General features: G+C 43.2%; 1 annotated feature.

The window, feature by feature from the left end:
• Positions 13,961-14,050: an enhancer, noted in NCBI's record as "active region_23676". NCBI's record gives its function as "activates an Ori minimal core promoter by ATAC-STARR-seq in GM12878 lymphoblastoid cells {active_cell/tissue: GM12878}" and the evidence as "EXISTENCE:reporter gene assay evidence [ECO:0000049][PMID:35858748]".

The following is a 20,629-nucleotide window of genomic DNA, read 5'->3' on the forward strand; positions in this document are numbered from 1 at the left end:
GTGTCAGTGCCAGACACTGAGATACTGTTCCTTATAATTTCCACACTTATATTTCTGCACACTCATGTACTGGTTAGTCCTCTGCTGAACGCTCAAAGGGGACTCTCTGAAGATCTCTGGAGTCCTTTCTGTCTCTCTCCTCTCTCTCTCTCTCTCTCTCTCTCTCTCTGTCTCTTTCTCTGCAGGTCTCTCCTTTGCAGTACTCTGTTCTGTGACCTCTGGTTGTCTTGATCTCCCTGGACCCTTAGTTCTGTTCACCCAACTCAGGGAGTCTCCCGGACTCCACCTGTATTCCCCCTCCCTGCGCCATGGCTTGGACCATCTTTTGAGGCAGTAAGCTGGGTGACAGTAAGTCTTACCTCATTTTTCCCCATCTTTCGGGGATCGCTGTCCTTTGTTTCCTGACATCCAATATCTGGAGAAACATGTATTTTGTTCATATTATTGGTTGTATCTGGTGGGAGGGCAAATCTAATCCCTGTTATTCCATATTGTCTGGAAGCAGAGATCAAGAAAAGTCACAACTTTTAGATTTAAGTCTCAACTTTTTAGGTTTTAAATCTAAAAAGGCAAAGGAATCTAATCAGGCAAGAAGAACTGAGGTTAGAAATGGAGACTAGTCCAGTAATACTTTAATACCCCAAAACTGCTCTTGGTTCATGGCTCTGGCCCTCCATAGCATCAAATCTAGCCCTGGCCACACCTGTCATTACGGTTCCAGCATTCTCATCTTCCCCCATCTAAATCCTTCACTTTTAGGAGACATAGAGGGTCCATTTGGCTCAGCCTGGTCTTTAGGGGCTTTGGGGAGTGCCAATGCTTTGAGAAGGGATGGAACGGTTACGAACACCACCATGCCTTCCCTAAGTATTTTTTGAGTGCCTATTATTGGCCAGGTACTGTTCTAGGTGTTGGGATCATAGCAGTGAACAAAACAAACCTCCCTGTCCTCATAGAATTTATATCCCAGTGATAAATGATAAATACCTTTAGCACAACACAATGTAGAATTGCTATAAGCTTTGATTTCGTTGAAAAAGAAAAATGCACTTGCTAGCAAAGTCATAACCTAAGCTGAGATGAAAGACAGGCTAATCCACAAAAATTGTTTATCCTGTGTAAACATAGAATCTATTTAAGTCACCTTAGAGAGTCTTCTTTAGGCCATTTATAGAAAACATGAATGAAGCCCAGGGGAGAGTCTCTGCAGTGAAAAATGCTGAAGTGGGCTCTTGAGGCTGGAAATCAATGCTTTGCGAAGAAATGAAAGCTGCTAATTTGTCTGCTCGGCCCATGAGATTATATATCACTGGAGGAGCCCAGAGAGTATCCTTCAATTCACAAAGGGCTTTCCTCTCAGCCTGCCTCTGCAATGATTTAATTACTTCCCCTCCCTAGAACACAAGCACTGGTCACTCTCACCCCCAGCTTCAGGTATCCCAATTCAGGAGATGAGCCTGGGGCTGCAGTGGTAGGAACAGTGGGTCAGACAGACCTGGGTTTGAATCTTGGCTCCATTACTATCAAGCTGTGGGGCCTTGGTCAAGTTTCTTCACCTACATGCCCTCCTTATTTCCCACCCCTGAAAATGCAAATACAGCTGCCAAGAAGCTTACATGAAATCCCGACCAAAGTATCAAGTATATAAGCACAGATCAGGAAACCTTCCCTTGCATTGCATTTTGTCTTGGCAAAGGCTGTATGTAAAGTGTACATTCACTGGTCTTTTCCAGCCCAGCATCCATTTCACCTTCTCTGAAGAAAACATCCCAGATTATTTTGGGGGAATGGCGTGTTCTTTATTGAATACATTCTGTTGGTCTGATAGGGCCTGCCCCTCCCTAGCTAAGGGAGTAGACACATAACCTGAGACAGGTTGACCAGATGCTTCCTCCCTGAGATTTGTATCTTCAGCAGAAGGACAGAGAAATTGAACACATATGAATGAAACAGCATCAGCCTCATCAGCATCCCTCTGACCAGACTGATTCTGCTGTGAGACTATTCATGGAACTCTTGCTTCCAGAAGCCCTGGGTGCTTTGTTCCTTGTCCTTTCCCAAGCCTGGCTCTACAGCCTCCCCTCCACTCAGTGTTACCTTTCCAGTGAATTTCCATTTGATTAGGTTAGCCATGGTACATTTCTGTGACTTACAATCAGAGAGCTCTATCTGATCAGCTGAAGAAGAAGAGGAAGAGAAGAAGGAAGAGGAGGAGGAGGGAGAGGAGAAAGAGAGAGAGGGGAAGAGGGAAAGAGGAGGAGGGAAAAGGGCAGAAGGAGAAAGGAGAGGAGAAGGAATAGGGAGGGAAACACGTTTTATGTCTTATTTGGATTTAACACAGCTGGAGCCACAGTTTTGGCTTGCCTGGCCAGCGAAGAGAAGAATTAAACACAAGGAACCTCAGGTTTTTTCCCAATTAGCAGATGACTGATGACCCTACATCATCTATATAATGATGTATCTTCCCCCATAATTTACTTCATTTACAAACTTCATTCCCTATAATAAACATATTTAATAGATTAAATAAATGAAGTGTATTACCTGCTTCTAGTGGGCAATCCCCTGCTATCTTACCTGGAATCATCAGAGCTAGCAGACACCAAATCGCCCAATTTTGGACACTGAGATTGGCCTGATTAGCTGTACCTCCAGAAATACAGCTAATGGAGGTGCCCATCCCAGCTTTGGGAGGGTGGATAGAGCACCAAAAGAGACTTTACGGAGGATGCAACACTGAATCTGATCTTAAAGAAAGATCTCATAGGACATGCTTAGACGAAGAAGGAGGGAAAAGCATGTTCGCAGAAGGAACAATGTATGCAAAGACTCAGGTGGGAGTGTGTGGGGAGGGGAGAAAGAGGGTCCTTTTAAAATCAGAGCACTTTTGAGGTCAATGTACTTTTATCCAGAGATTTATAGAGTCTCAAGGATACCCGAGAGACCTTGTTATGCTCATGAAGTAGAGAAACTGGAAGAAGTCCACATATTTTAGTAGTTTTGTTACTGGAAAGGAGACTCAATCTAGACACCAAGAGGGTTCTTGGATCTTGTGCAAGAAAGAATTCAGGGTGAGTCCATAGAGTAAAGCGAAAGCAAATTTATTAGGAAAGTAAAGGAATAAATAATGGCTACTCCGTAGACAGAGCAGCCCCGAGGGCTGCTGGTTGCCCATTTTTATGACTATTTATTGATTATATGCTAAACAAGGGGTGGATTATTCAGGCCTCTCCTCTTTAGACCATATAGGGCAACTTCCTGACATTGTCATGGCATTTGTAAACTGTCATGAGGCTGGTGGGAGTGTAGTAGTGAGGACGACCAGAGGTCACTCTCGTCGCCATCTTGGTTTTGGTGGGTTTTGGCTGGCTTTTTTACTGCAGCCTGTTTTATCAGCAAGGTCTTTATGACCTGTATCTTGTGCTAACCTCCTGTCTCATCCTGTGACTTAGAATGCCCTAACCATCTTGGAATGCAGCCCAACAGGTCTCAGCCTCATTTTACGCAGCTCCTATTCAAGATGGAGTTGCTCTGGTTCAACACCTCTGACAGCTTTAATTTGGAAGAGATGGAAAACTTTGAGGAGGTCCCGGAGAATGACCAGCAACCTCACAGACAGAATCCTGGGTACCTTGGGTAAAGGCTTCCTCTCCATGCCACCCACAAGACACTGTGACCCCAATCTCCAGCCCTCCACCTCTCTGGAATTTTTCTATTATATCATCTGTCCACTCAACAGCTCCCCCAGATTTTACTTGTGTTTTTTATCAAACCTATCATCTTCCTCCAAAACTCGCTGCTCCTCTTGTAATTCCTCCGTTGGTGAAAAACACTCCATCTTCTCCATACACGACAACAATTGGACTTCAAAATGAACTTTTGCACATCAAATGGCACTGTAAACAGAGTAAAAAGACAACCTATAGGTCAGGAGCAGTGGCTCACGCCTGTAATCCCAGCACTTTGGGAGGCTGAGGATCATGAGGTCAGGAGATTGAGAGCATCCTGGCTAACACGGTGAAACCCCGTCTCTACTAAAAATACATTACATATAAGCATTGTGTAATGCTTCCCCTGCCTACACCACGTTCAGAATCATACACTCTTGCTCGTTCTTCTGGGATTCGGGGAGACATCTGCTCCTTTCACCTAATTTTAATACCCAGTGTTCTAATCCAGGTCTCAATGTCTCTTGTATGGGTTACCTCAACCAGCATCCGCATCAACATCCCAGCCTCCCCAAGGCATACACCATGGACCTGAGTTGTTAGGTCATGGGCTATGTGTCTCCAGCTTTCAGAGAAACTCTGTAAAATCAGAGGAGCAGCACCTCTAATTGACTCTTCTATTTCTACCTGAGGCAACCGGATATGGTAGCAAATATTATACCCTATTTGCCCCTTACTTTAAAATCTATTGCTTCGTTATATAAACTTTTACTAGGTCTTAGATTTCTTTAGGTCTTGCCTTATTGGAAGAAATTCTGTGTGCAATCTTGCTGAAGAAGGTCCTCCTAAATGTAGGTAAAGGAAGGAAAAAAGCTGGTGCGGCTTCACCTGTAGATGAAATCCTGAACAGTACAGCCTTTTAGGAAAAAAAAAAATGATAAAATTGGAAGTAGGAAACATCTCAAGAATAAAACTCTGGGGCGAAGTTTAGAAGGGGGATGAAGGATAAAAGACTACATATTGGGTAGAGTGTACACTGCTCAGGTGATGAATCCCCCAAAATCTCAGAAATCACCACTAAAGAATTTATCCATGTAACCAAACACCACCTGTTCCCCAAAAACAGTTGAACTAAAAATTAAAAAAAAAAAAAAACAAAAAAAAAACCTCCATTCCCTGATTAGAAACCACAAAAGGGGCCTTAAGAGGTTGTCTGTAAATAATGTACCTTGAATCTCTCAAGGTCTTTCATGCTGATTGACCATCACAGGAAATGGTATTCAAATCAGCATCTATCATTTTCGGAAGGTTTATAAACTGACATTTTACTTTGCCAGAAATAGGAGACTCAGAATCCAATCTTGTTTGTGTCTTCTCTCGTGTTACAGAGGCAAATGAACTGATGAACCTGGCAGATTTCCCATCTTCAAACAATGATGGTTCATGCTGACACTCTGTCCCTGGCTGCAGAGGGCACCTCTTTTTTTGTTCACCTGACAAAAAACAACAATTGGATTGGTCTCTCCCAGACCACGTGGTCCTCACAGGCTGCCCATCATGGGCCTCAACTCCCCTGACCACGTGGGACAGGCACAAGACCCACAGTACTCTGTTCAGACTCTCTCTCAGGCATCTGAAATTTCCATGGAGACAGAAGGACAAAAGGACAGAGCTGTCTTTTCAACAAATGTTGCTGGGAGAACTGGATATCTACTTGCCGAAGAATGAAGTCATACCCTTATCTCACAGTATCTACAAAAACTAGCTTAAAATAGACTAAAGAGCTAAACGGAAAAGTTAAAATTATAAAACATAAGGAGAAAGCTTCATGGCATTGGATTTGGCAGTGATTTCTTCTTTATGACACTAAAAGCACAGGCGACAAAAGAAAAAAGACGGAAATTGGACTCCAAAATGAAGAATTTTGCACATCAAAAGGCACTGTAAACAGAGTAAAAAGACAACCTATAGGCCGGGCGCGTGGGGCTCACGCCTGTAATCCCAACACTTTGGGAAGCCGAGGCAGGTGGATCATGAAGTCAGGAGATCGAGACCATCCTGGCTAACACGGTGAAACCTTAAAAATACAAAAACAAAATGAGCCGGGCGTGGTGGCGGGCACCTGTAGTCCCAGCTACTAGAGAGGCTGAGGCGGGAGAATGGCGTGAACCCAGGAGGCGGAGCTTGCAGCGAGCCGAGATCGCGCCACTGCACTACAGAGCAAGACTCCGTCTCAAAAAAAAAAAAAAAAGAAAAGAAAAAAAGACAACCTATAGAATGCGAGAAAATGTTTGTAAATCAAATTCCTAATAAAAAATTAATATTCATAATATGTAAAGGACTCCTATAACTCAACAACAACAATTAAAAACTAGGCAAAGGACTTCAATAGACATTTCTCCAAATAAGTTATACAAATGGCCAATGAGCCCAGGAAGAGATGTTCAGCATCACTAATCATTAGGGAAATGGAAACCAAAACCACAGTGAGATCCCACCTCACACCCATTAGGATGGCTACTATCAAACAAGCAGAGAATAGCAGGTGTTGGTGAGGATGTAGAGGGATTGGAAGGAACTCTTGCGCATTGCTGGTGGAAATGTAAAATGGTGCAGCTACTATGGAAAGCAGCACAGAAGTTCCTCAAAAACTTAAAAATAGAATTACCATATGATCCAGCAATTTTGTTTCTAGGTGCATACCCAAAGGAATTGAAGGCTGGAACTCAAAGAGTTATTTGTACACCTATGTTTGCAACAGCATCATTTACAGTAGTGTGAAAAGATCACCGTGGGCATGTTAACATTTTAAAGCATTTATGTGAGCAGACAATGATTCATGAATCTGGTAGCACCAAACTGCAAGTAGTTTGGGCTCCACCAAGAGGGTGTGAGGGGAAAATTGTTAAAAGGTGATCATGAAAGCAAGACAAAGAAAATATTTGATTGGCTAAGGCAGGAAGTCTCCAGTTAGAGGTCAGCTGGAGGTTTCTGATTGGTAAATTCTGTAGTGAGAGGTTAGTTAGCAGTTTCTGAATGGTTAAGCTGGGGTTTCATTTTCCCAGGCTATGGTCACTCACACTGAATGGGGTTTCAGTTTGCTTATGTAGGAATCCAAGGTGCTGGGTTCTCAGCCAAATGGACTCCAAATTAATTGTTTTTAACAATAGCCAAAAGGTTAATCAGCTCAAATGTCCACTGATGGAATGAGTCAATTAATTTGTTTACTTGTCCATGAATGAGTAAACAAAATGTGGTATATACATACAATTAAATATTATTCAGCCTTAAAAAGGAAGAAAATTCTGACCCATGCCATAATGTGGATGAACTTTGAAGACATTACGCTAAGTAAGATAAGCCAGTCACAAAAATAACAAACTCTGTGTGATTCCCCTCATAGGGGGTCCATAGTCAAATTCATAGAAACAGAATAGTGGTTGTGGGGGCTGGGCAGAGGGGGAGTCATTGTCTAATTTGTGGTGTTAAATTAAGCTTAGCCTAAAGCTGACTGCTTACATATTTTAAGTTTAGCCTAAAGATCCCTCCATACATGGTGAACTGTCTCCTAACTGGATGTATGAACAGATTGTAACCTACTCTTGTACCAGTCACTGAGTTTCTGCAAATCAAAGGTGACCAGACCCTGTTTAAATACGGCAAACATTGAGCTGTAGCCAATACAGTAGTTTCTGCACCTCACTTCCAGTTTCTGTACATTACTTTCCTTTTTCTGTCCAGCGATCTTTGACCATGCTGCAGCAACGGGGTCTCTCTGAACCTATTCTGGTTTAGGAGACTGCCCAATTCATGAATCTTTCTTTGTTCAATTAAACTCTGTTAAATTTAATTTATCTGAAGTCTTTATTTTAACAATTACAGAGTTTCAGTTTTGCAAAATATAAAGAGTTCTGTGGATAGATGGTGGTGATGGTTTCACAACAATGCAATGGTAGTCAATGCCACTGATCCATACCCTTAAACAGAGTGAAAATTGTCAATTTTATATTATTTTATCACAATAAAAAGAAAAGGAGGTCAGAGCTGAGCCATCAGGCAACAGCCTCCAGAGTGTTGCTCTGTCATTGTGTGCTGTTGAAGCCCCCGGTGCTTCCCTGACCCCTCCATGGCAGACCTGAAGGTTCGGCGCTCTTTTCTAGCCTGTGAGTGCCCCGTTATGTTTACCATCAAGTCCTCTTTCGGACGAAGTCACCCAGGGTAGGCTTCCTTTTGCCAAAGAGCATTCCCTGAAATGCCAGCATTCTACATAAAGTGGCTGCAGCTATCTGCCTACCAGAGAGCCATCCCCAAATTGTTCTATGGAAAAAAGAATACCTGCCGTTTGCTTGCCACCCCTTATGCACCCTGCTGCCACCTCGTTCCAGGGTCATCCTAAGCCCTCCAGAATGAAGATTTATTTGGCAGTACATTCATGTTTTTATTTTGGTTTCTGTCTAATATTCTTTCCTATTTTCATTCCTGTAGTGGCAGGTACCACAGCTCATGGGCCAGTAAAAGCTACCAATTGCACCAGTCCTGATTCCTGGGCATGATGTGATAGTCTTCACTCATCCTGTCTGGGTGAGGAGCTTGTGCAGACATCATCTTCATCTTACCCAAGAGAAAACGGAGGCTCCAAGAGGGGAGGGGATTTTCCCAAAGTCTCAGAATGAATAAGATGATGGAGCCAGTGTCTTGCCCAGCCCTGTCTAACTTCAAAGACCATAATCTCTATCCATTGGAGAAAGCGTGGCTGGGATGTTCTGTATATCGGAGTAGCTCTTGGATCAAATGCTAAAGAGCCAGAGATAACTCTCCAAATCACATAGATTGATTTGAGACTAAGACTCATTATTATTACTTAAAAAATATATTTTTTAAACTACTTATGGCATGAAAAGCAAATTTGCAAATTGAAACAAGGCAGTCAATAGATCAACAGATGTCATTTTTTAAAGCCAAATTGAACACATTCACTAGAGCATATGAGACTCAGTGGCAGAGCAAGAGATCATGAAATTAAATTAAATTTACTTTAATTAATGTATAAATCTACAATTTAATTAATTGGGTTAAATTACTGCAAAACACAGCCAATCTCAAATGGAGGGATTTCTGAATCAAAGCCAGTATAAAAATGTTGTTCTAATGAGAACACATGGACACAGGGAGGGGAACATCACACACAGGGGCCTGTCAGGGGGTCGAGGGGGAAGGGGAGGGAGAGTATTAGAACAAATACCTAATGCATGTGGGGCTTAAAACCTAGATGACGGGTTGATAGGTGCAGCAAACCACCATGGCACATGTATACCTATGTAACACACCTGCACGTTCTGCACACGTATCCCAGAACTTAAAGTACAATTTTTAAAAAAAAAATGTTCTTCTATATTTGCTGCAACATAATCAATGTCATGTTATTGCTCATATATGTCGCAGTGAACACACACGCCTAAAAAATAATGATGGCTACAAAACCAACACAGTGAGAAGGAAACTAATGTTTTGTTGGTGCCCTCTATGGGCCAACTGTGATGAAAGTTTTATCATCCTTGTTTTGAATACGAAGAAACTACAGCACTGAAATACTTGTTAACTAGCCTGAGGTCATATACTAAGAAGAGGCAAAGCTGAGATTCATACTTGATTCTATCTGATTCCAAAGTCTGGCCTTGTTCCATGATCTTTCAAGTTTACGTATTCATTTATCCGATGACGTATTTATACACACACAGTACACACACTGCTCCTAAATCACCGTGGACTTATTTACAATTTATAATTGTAATAATTGCTATGAAAGAAAGCAAACAATAGGAAGCATTAAGAGAAAATACAGACTGGGGGTGACCTTTTTGGTAAATTATTGTTCATAATATTTGCTGCCTTTCCTTGGGAGAATATTCTACTTGCCCAGCTCATTGACTTCAGGCTTAGCTATGGGACTTTATACATCCCTAAGGAACACATGCTTTGTACTCTATGGGACTATTATAGGTCCCCACCCTGGGGAACTGGGGAGTGTCCATGTGACCTGATTTAGCCAAGGCTGGAGAGAAGTGTATTATTGCCAGGAAGAAGCCTGGTTTTTATGCTTAAGGCTCACCAACTTTCTCCACTCCGCCCTAAGTCCAGCAATGTCCCAGTGAAGGCTGTTCATCAGCCTGTGTCCCAGAGTGAAGTCTTTGTGAACAGGAGCTGCAGCTGGCCCTCGATAGAATTGTCATTGTTGGACCAGGCACAGTGGCTCATGCCTGTAATTCCACCACTTTGGGAGGCCCAGGTGGGTGGATCACTCGAGGCCAGGAGTTTGAGACCAGCCTGGCCAACATGGCAAAACCCCGTCTCTACTAAAATCCAAAAGTTAGCTGGGCGTGGTGGGACACGACTGTAATTCCAGCTACCTGGGAGGCTGGGGCATGAGAATTGCTTGAACCCGGGAGTGGCCGAGATCGCGCCACTGCACTCCAGCCTGGGCGACTGAGCGAGACTCTGTCTCAAAGACAAAACAAAACAAAAAAGAATTGTTATTGTTGTAAGTCACTGAGATTCGAGGGTCATTTGCTAGCACAACATAATTTAACCTATCCCGATGGATGAGCCTTCTTAACTTGGGGGTGAGTGAAGACCTCTTGGAAGAAGTGACGTTTGAGCTGAGACCTGAATAAAGGGAAGGATTCTATCTGTGAAAGAGCCAGGAGGGGAGAGATTTCCAGACAGTGCAAAACAGCCAGCGCACAAGCCGCGGGGTGGGAAAGAACTCAGCACACTTGAGGAAAGGAGGCCCGAGTTACCGAGCTGACGAGAGTGGTGAGGGATGAAGCCAGAGATATGTCCACGCCTGAGCACAAGGGCCTCGCCAGCCACGTGAGGAGGTTGGGCGGCATTCCATGTGTGACAGGAGGACACCCAGGGAGCCAAGCGGTGGAACGATGTGGTCAGATTCAAGCATGTAAGATTGTCCTCAATGCTGGGTAGTAGAGGAAGCAGGGAAACCAAGTAGGAGGCTTTGTTCAGGCCTGTTAAGGGCCGAATGGTGTTCCCCAGTAAATCACATGCTGAATACTAACCCCCAGTAGCTCAGAATGTGGCCTTCTATGGAAATAGGATGGTTGCATGTGTAATTAAGTTTAGATGAAGTCACACTAGAGGAAGGTGGTTCCTTAATCTACATAACTGGTATCCTTATAAAAAAAAAAAAAAAAAAAGAAAATTTGGGGCCAGGCGTGGTGGCTCATGCCTGTAATCTCAGCATTTTGAGAGGCCGAGGCGGGCAGATCACGAGGTCAAAAGACTGAGACTATCTGGGCCGACATGGTGAAATCCCATCTCTACTAAAAATACAAAAATTAACTGGGCATGGTGGCACGTGCCTGTAGTCCCAGCTACTCGGGAGCCTGAGGCAGGCGAATCACTTGAACCCAGGAGAAGGAGGTTGCAGTGAACCACGATCATGCCACTGCACTCCAGCTTGGCGACAGAGCGAGATTCTGTCCCAAAAAAAATAAAATAAGTGACAAAGAGGAAATTTGGCTGCACACAGACACACAAGGAGAATGCCATGCGATGGAGGCAGATATTGGGGTGGTGCTCGCACAAGCCACAGCATACCAACAATTATCAGCAAACCACCAGCAGCAGAGCCAAGGGCATGGAACAGATCCTCTCTCACAGCCCCAAGAAAGAACCAACCCTGCCGACACTCTGAACTTGGGCTTTCAGCCTCCAGAACTGCAAGACAATAAATTTCTGTTGCTTAATTCACCCAGTTCATGGTACTTTGCTATGTCACCCTAGCAAACTAACACAAGGCTAGAAACAATGGTGCCTTGGACTGGGGTCTTAGCACTGGAGGTCGTCAAAAAGTAGATGAATTCAAGGTTTTGTTTTGTTTTTTGTTTTGTTTTTTTTTTTGAGACAGAGTTTTGCTCTGTTGCCCAGGCTGGAGTGCAGTGGCTCTATCTCAGCTCATTGGAACCTCCACCTCCCCAGTTCAAAAAATTCTCCTGCTTCAGCCTCCCCAGTAGCTGGGATTACAGGTGCATGCCACCACGCCCCGCTAATTTTTTGTATTTTTAGTAGAGACAGGGTTTCACCTTATTGGCCAGGCTGGTCTCGAACTCCTGACCTCAAGTGATCTGTCCACCTTGGCCTCCCAAAGTGCTGAGATTACAGGTGTGAGCCACCACACCTGGCCTCAAGGTACATTTTTGAAGGTGGAAATAATGGAAGTTTCTATTGGATTAGACATAGGTTATAATGGAAAGGGAGGAATTAAAGAGGAAATTCTCAAAATTGTGTATCATGCACTCTGTTCAATGCTTTCATGGATTATTGCCTCATTTCATCTTCACCAAAGTCCCATGTATCAGTTGGGTCCCCTGGGATGCAGACACTGAGACAGAATTAAGAATATAAGAAGTTTATTAGGGGTAATATCTGTGGATGATAAAAAGGAGAGGAAGCAGGATTAGGCAGGGAAAAGACTGCGAAGCAGATGTGACAGAAGATTCAGCCACCCCAACCCAATAGGGATCTTCAGAGCAAAGATTTCCCATCACAAGCATCATGCATTGGCAGAAATAGGCCCTAGTGTTCCCACCATGCTTGGTCGTTGGCTGGCGGGAACTAGAAACAGTGTGGCCTCTGCTCAAAAGTGAAGGTGGACCCTGAAGGCTCTGACAGCTAGAAGCTGTCAGCTAAATTCACTCCTCACAGTGAAACAGCAAGTTCTTATTTGAAGGGAGATCCAAGCCGCTCAGCATGCTCTGTAATGTACAATTTCTAACCATATTTCTCAAATTAGGAAACGGAGGTTCAAAAATCAAACTTTGAAACATTGCCTTGAATGGGACAACATAGACTCTGGCTCTGCTCCTCTAACATCATGGTCTCTGCTGAATTATGGTGAGTACTTGTGGCAGAGACTGAAAAAGCTGGCTCCCTCAGCACCCATTCCAGTGCCCTCGAAGCTTGCCTCACAGCACAATAGGGGATGAAGAGCTAAAAAGCAAAGTCTCAGATTCCTTTGCAGTGTGGGTACAGGTGCGTGACCTGGTTTAGGCCTGTCTGATGTACCACTAGACTTGGTCATGACTGTCAGAAGTGAAAGGTAGGACTGTGGCAGATAAGAGGCTCACCTGGACAGCTCTGTGGCTTAGTCCCTAGACCTACAGGTGCCGAGTGGCAGGTGGTTAACAGCTGCATTGTTTTTGCTAGAACAACCCTTGATATGACTGACTGATTCTCCCAACTGTGCTGTGCCTGGTTCTTTAAACACTCCAGAGTTTTGCAAACTATCCAATATCCTTTAACAAATTACTTTCTGTTTACTCTAGGAGGAAGGACCTCTGTTGTCTGCAATAGAAAGCCTTGAGATTCACGATACTGGCTAGAGTACACTGAGCCATACGGACACAAATGCACTATTTAGCAGGGAAATTGAATTGAAATCCAAGTGCATTTTTCAAGCTCTGGCGTACTGCGCTGCAGCATTTCTCCTAAATGAATTGAACACATTTTGGCCTTAGCTGCATGCAAACATGTCTAAAAAAATCAAGTACACACCTGGCAGGCAGTGTGTTGGTTAAAAGGGTCTCAGGTCTCCTAGAAATTGCCATGCAAGAACCAGACTTTTTTCCAGCTGTATGCAAATTAACCATCAGCATCTTTAAACAAAGCAAAATATTAACTGAAAAATCGAGTGTCTCAGCTACAACACAGAATAGGTGTTCACAGATTTTTGTTTAATACAGGGCCCTCTTAAAAAGTCCCATTTTTATCTATGATGTAATCCAGAGAATGTGTATGATTTTTTTCCTCCCTACCTGTCCACCAAAATCAAATCAAAGGCCTTTTTCCTCAAGGAAGTTTCCACATTACGCAACAGCCAACCATGTCAAGAGCTGATTTGCAGGCTGAGCTCAGTCACATTAGGGACTTCTTCCTATGCAAGCGGGGCTGTTGAAGTCAACAGTGAGATTAGTAAGGGGGAGAGTCATGCACCTGGAAACAAAAACCTGGACCCTCCTCGTAGCCCTGCAAAACGACGCTGACAGTGTGCAAGCTCTCCCTTCCCTGAGCCTCTCTGTCCTCCTCTGCAACCCTGCCTCAAGCGGTCATTTTCAGGATTGCACTGAAAATCTGACAAAGCAGGAAGCTGATATGGTCTACAGAGGTACTGAATTGAGGTAAACAGAAATTTCAGAGGCCACCTCTGCATGGAGAAGCTACAAGCAGAACCGTTCAGTGCATCACCACCTCGGACCACACCTCCCCAAGTCATCCAGACCCCAGAGCCGCCTTTTTCTGTTGTTTTGTTTTTTCTTTAGAGACAGAGTTTTGCTCTATTGCTCAGGCTGGAGTGCAGTGGCATGATTATGGCTCACTGCAGCCTTGAACTCCTGGGCTCAAGCCATCCTCCCACCTCAGCTTCCTAAGTAGCTAAGGCTGCAGGCTCTCACCACCTTACCTGGCTAATTTCTTTTCTTCCTTTTTTTTTTTTTTTCTTTTCATAGAGACAAGGTCTGGCTGTGTTGCCCAGGATGATCTCAAACCCCTGGCCTCAAGTGATCCTCCCACCTTGACTTCCCAAAGTGCTGGGATTACAGGCATGAGCCACCGTGCCTGGCAAAGCCTCTTGGCCAAAATCCCCACTCCAGTGGCTGCCAAGAAGCTGGTCTCAAAAATCCTATCTGTTCAATGGATGAAAAATCCAGCTTCCTTATACAATGGAATACTACATGACAATGAAAAGGAACAATGCACTGATGCACGCAGCAACGTGGAGGAATTTCACAGCCATTGTGATAAGCAAAACAAGACAGACACAAAAGACATGCTATAGGGATTCCATTGATTGGGCATGCTAGAAAAGGCTAAGCTAATTTAGAGTTACAGAAAGCAGACTAATGGTTGTTGGGGATTGGGGCTTGACTGCAAAGGGACACAAGGGAAACTTTTTTGGACACTGGATATATTCTAAATTTCAATTGTGATAGCAGATATACAAATGTATATAACTTGGTCAAAACTCAATGAACTATACAACTTACCGTGAATTGTGCAGTGTGTGTTATATAAACTATGCCTCAATAAAGTCAACAAGAAGAATCCTGTCAGGATGACTAAGACTTTCTATGTGAAAACCCCCTTTCTATGTGTTCCTCTTTAAATACATGCCCCCTTGTTCTCTCTGAGGGCATAGATAGTTTTGCTGCCACTTAAACCTGAATTATAGTTATCCTCATCACAAAATGTTGTCTGAGAAAAATATGTAGGCTCTGCACTTACTTTCTGTGTGACTTTGAGTATAATACTTCACCTCTCTGTGATTCAGTTTCCACATGTGTACTATGGAAACAGCAGTACAAAGAGGGCTCAGCAACACAGCTTACACAAGAGAGCCCAGCCCAGAGCTGGGTATATGCTGTGTGCTCAATAAACCCTGGTTTCCCATCTTCATGCCATCAGTTATGGCTCTTTAGATTCCATATAACAGAACATCTGGCCCAATTTATTCAGAGGTGAGACTAATGGCAGAAGAGCCCAGAGATTGTACTGACTCCAGAAGGTCAGCATCGAGGCCAGGCACTGGATTTCTCTCCCTCTCTCTGCCATGCACTTGGGTATGTCAGCATAATCCTCTGGCCCCATGTGCTGCACTCCCTCCCAGCAGCACCCACCTCTCCCTTTGGGCCTCCAGAGCTCTCTGCCTCCCATGCCATCCTGAAGGCCCTCTCTCTGTCCCCAGTTGGAACACATGCCTTTTGTCTTAGCCAAGAACTGCAGCTATGGGCACGTAACATGCTAGTAGGATTAAGCAAATCATTCTGGAGCTGAAATCTGGATTCTATGCTCTCCAACCAAGTGGCTGCTACAAACTGGGGTACAAGTGACTGCTTCTCTCAGCAGAAGAAGGGGAGTAATGATATGGGAAGATAATCAACGAATGTCCATTGAACACATTCTGTCTGTCAGGGAGTTCATCAGGAAACAGAAAATACAGAAGTTATTTTAACAGAGGATTTAATCTAAAGAATTGTTTAAACAGGTGACAGAACACTGAAGCCATCACAGTGTAGCAACTGCAGGAATCAGCTACCATTCCTAATACCAGGGGAATGAAGAGGAGAGGCTGGGATTATGAAATCGGAGAGACTCGGGGAAAAGAGAGCACTTTTTGGCTGGTGCTCCTGGCCCTGAGCTTAGAGGAGAGGCCCTTTGGTTCCAGGACCCAGAACCCCGAGGAGAGGTGCTGGGATCTCTAAAGGGGTGTAATGGGGCTGAATCAGGGTGTGTGGAAAAAACCTAGCTCTTGGATGAAGAAGCAAGGCTGTAGTGATGCCAACAAGAATAAGATGCAGACAGGAAGGGACATGTCTCTCCTTCTGCTTTCAGTCTTTCCTCCCTCCCTGGGTCTGCATTAGAGCCAGCTGGCAAAGCACAAATGTGGCTTACAGAGTCATAGAATCACAAAGCATTGCACAAAAAAATTGGGTTTGGAGCAGACAGACGATTACTTAACAACTAGCCCCCAAACTATTCCACAATCAGGGTATCAGTGAGGACATTTTCGCTGCAAGAAGTAGTAACTCCAACTTAATTAGCTTAAGCAATGAAAACATTTTCTTCCCCAGGAAGAGCTACTCCAGATTTGCTTAATAATTCAACTGTTCAACATTGCTGTTAAGGACAACGTTTTTCCCATCTTGGAGGAGATGCTTCTTGGTTCTGGAACCCAGAACACTAAGGGGGAGTGCTGGGGTCCACACTGTGGATATGTGTGTGGATATATCACATATGTGGATATGCATATAGGCACCTCAGGGGATTTGCTGTCATGCATATACATATATACTATATGTGTATATATATATGCTGTATATATGGGTGTGTATATATAGAAAGAAAATTTATTTTATTTTTTAATTTTTATTTTTAGTTCTGGGGTACACATGCAGGATGTGCAGGTTTGTTACATAGGTAAATGTGTGCCGTGGTGGTTTGCTGCACCTATCAAGCAAATTCATTATAAATATACTGACATAAAGGATGTGTAGAGCAAAATTTACAAATGATTATAAATTTTACAATACTCCTTATTCTAAGTTTCATATAGGCAACTGGTTCTCACAGGATACTTTCATTGATTTTTGCCAAACTCTTGGATTCTTAGCCAACCTATGGTTGCAACTGATCAAGTTTAGTTCAGGCATCACCTTGCTTGATGTAGTAAGACAAACTGAAACCATAAAGATGTATGTGTGAACTTCACTTATTAGCCAATAACATGAGCATCTCCCATAATTGAGCTAAAAAAAAAATCTCTATCTGGAGCCCTCTTTCCACCGGGGTGATTGAATGTTTATCTTAGTTAATTCGAAGTTTACCTACCTCCTCATTTTCTAGGGATTACATCTAATTTCCAGGACATAGTGGGAGGGCCCCTGTGATCTTGCGACAGTTCAAAGAGCTCACTGGTTACATAGTTGCTCATCCGTCTGTCAGTACTTGTGTTTACACATCCCTCATTCCTGTCCGTGGGACACTTTGGATCTGCTAGCTGTTTTCATATCCCACACTGAGAGCCCAAGAATCTCCATGAAGCGAAGTCCCCATCTCCCAAGACTCATCACCATGCTCTGTCAGGGAAGCAGGATGCAGATTCCTTCTCCGTGGAGCACATTAATATCTGAGTTTTCCACGTTTTCCCTCTGCTCTCCTCTTCCTTCAGCCTGATGAAATCATTTCCATTCTGTGGGAGCAGTAAATCCTGACATGCCTTAAACGCCCTGATCCAGTTTAGCTGAGAGTGCAAGGGAAACTGGCTCACTCTTTGAAGAAAAATAAAGCTGAATTCCTACCTCTCATACCGCATACAAACTCTAGACAGATTTTAGATTACATTTTACCTTCTAGATGAATGAAAGACCTGAATGTGAGGTGTAAACTATACAACGAAAGCATTAAACATTAGAGCAAACCTTTTAAGCCCAGTGTTGAGGGAGACCTTCTCTAATAAGACGTCAAAAGGCCAAAACAAAAGAAAAACAAATTAATGGATTTAATTACACCGATGTTCGAGATAATCTGTTCAACAAAAGTACACTGGAGACAAAACTAACAGGAGGATGACAGGTTGGGGGAAGATATTAGCAATGTTTTTGGCAGACTGGGAACACTTACAAAGATATAAAGAAAGGAAAAAAGGCAACAAACATAAAGAAGTGCTAATAAGTAGAGGAGAAGATTCTCAAATTTTTTAATAACCAAAGAAATACAAATTAAAATGACAATATAGCACTTTATTCCCATTAGATTGGCAAAACTTAGAAAGAAGAATAACACCAGGTCTTGGTGAGATATGAAAAAAACAGGAGCATTTTTGCACACTGGTGATGAGTTATACAATGACATCATTCTGGAAAGTCCTCTGACAGTGCTATCTAAATTAGACAGGCAGGTATCTACAGAAATTTCACCCTTGGATATGTTTCTGGAGTCCTTATTAAACAAGACCATAATTGGATATACGTTAATAAGTTTTTGCAGGGTTTATGGTACTGAGAAGTACCACAACACATCCTAGGTAGTAGATAAGTAAAATGCATCCTAGGTAGTAGGTAAGTAAAACGTGGTGGCTCTACTCCAGGGAATTTTATCAGGAGTTAGAAAGAACAAACTAGATCTATACAAAACAACATAAACAGATCCCAAGCACTCAGAAGTGAGTGACAAGTGAGAAAGCAAATGGGATCTCCAAAAGAATACCATTTTTATAACTTAAAACCATAGGCCCAAAGCATTACATATTCTGCAAAGATATTTTGTAACGTGTTAGAGCTGTTGCCTACAGAGGACAGGAAAACAGAAATGGAGGGCGGGAATAAAGTGAATGATTTCTTTCAAACATCTTGTCTCCATTCAGACTTTCTCCATCCCCCTAAGGATTCAGATGTATTGACCCTAGAGTTCTGAGTCTAGAGCCTTTCTTTCTGCCTTGATGCAGCTTATCATTGAGAAAATTAGCCCAGAACAGCTCAGCCATTTGATGAGGAAGGAGAGGAATAGCAAAGGGAGTTGGGGGTTGGATCAGTTAATCAGCTAACCAGCCAAAATCTCGATATATTATCCCTCCACGAATGTTTCAGGGTTCTTGGTGAGAGTTTTCAAATCCATAACAAAATAACCAGAAAAAGAATGTCTACTCTGTGTTGCAATTTGCCTATGACTTGGATGAGTCTGTTTCAAATGACCCTCCGTGAGGACTGCCACATTCAGTTGTGCAGCCTGTGCACTGCACAAAGGTGCTCCTGCCCAGGGGAGCAGGAGGAAGCTGGAATTCACCAGGGACTCTGCTTACGAGCTGGGCCTGCCTGGGCCTCTTTCAATCATAGCCTGGGGCTCTTTCAATCTTAGAGAGGAGCCTCAGGAGGTCAGCTGTAACTTGTCTGCCAGAAAGGGTAACCTTGCGAAATTCCTACAATGGTGCTGTATGTACTTGCTGGAGCCCTGACTTAGTTTACCCTCAGCCTCCCCATGTCTCAGTCTGGTCAACATCCTTATCAGAAATTCACACTAGCTTCCTTTACAATCTGCCTTTAGGACAGTCCTGAGGCAAATTTCACTTGTTCTTCCCTCTGCCTGGAATGCTCTTCCCCAGATAGCCACACGGCTCACTCTCTTCCTTCACTCAGGCCTCTGCTCCAACATCCCCTCTACAGAGAGGTCTTCCCTCCACATCTCCTCTAAAATAGGCCCCCATCCTGCCTTGCTCTCACCTCTCATCCCACATTCTTCATCCTGCTTATCACCCATGGAATGTGTATGTATTCATTTATCGCAAGCTTCTCAAAAGGAGGGACTCAGTCTCACTCACTAATTGGTGCCTGTCCTGCGCTGGCACAGAGTAGGTGCTCAGCAAATACATGTTAGATGAATGCATGGATTGGATCTAAACAGCAAGCAGAGTATGGTATTCCTCTCCAAAGAGTGCAGGAAATAGAACAGCAAGTGCTGAACCAGGGCAAAGAGAAATGTGAAGTATCATTCTTCCTTAATTCTGCCCTATTACATATAATAAGATTAATTTGACTAATGAACCAGTTCCTTAAAACCCATAATGGAGTGGCTCAGTTTTCTCAGAATGATAAACACTGTCTTTAGCCTCTAGGAACTATTTCAAAGACATAATTGGCTTCTAAGTGATGCTTAGCACGCTTTATTTTTAAACAAAGAGCCAATTCATGACGTGTTCTTCAGATGCTTTGTATGTGAGGCTTACTGGGCTTTCACTCTAAAACAAGAAATGCTGGCCAGGGGGATGGGAGAGGGGTAACATTAGGAGAAATACCTAATGTAAATGATGAGCTAATGGGTGCAGCAAACCAACGTGGCACGTGTATACAATATGTAACAAACCTGCACGTTGTGCACAAGTACCCTAGAACTTAAAGTATAATAAATAAATTAATTTTTTTTAAAAGTTTGTGCTTGAATGTTCTTGGCTGCTTTATTCATAACAGCCCCAAACTGGAAATACTGTAAAGGTCCAACAATTGAAAAATGGATACAAAAAGAAATGTGATATATAACAGAATTCTACGCCACAATGGGAAAAAAATCCAACACCATGGATAAATCTCAAAAACATGCTGCGTGAAAGAAGCCAGACATATACACATACAAGTGTGGCTGTATGATTCCATTTATATGAATAACAAATGTTTCAGAGCATGAATGAGTTCCAGAACAGGCAAAAGTATTCGCTTGATGCAAACGTAACTGTGGTTTTTGCCATTGAAAGTAACGACAAACAACGCAATTACTCTTGGCTACTCCAGACAAGTGGTTAGGGAAGGCACCTCTGAGGAAGGTGACACTAATAACTGAAAATTAGTGTCAGAAATTATGGAAAGCCGGTGACACAAAGCAGGATGATGTGATGTCGGGAGTGC

Source organism: Homo sapiens, chromosome 5 (genome assembly GCF_000001405.40).
Source record: "Homo sapiens chromosome 5, GRCh38.p14 Primary Assembly".
Lineage (NCBI taxonomy): Eukaryota > Metazoa > Chordata > Mammalia > Primates > Hominidae > Homo > Homo sapiens.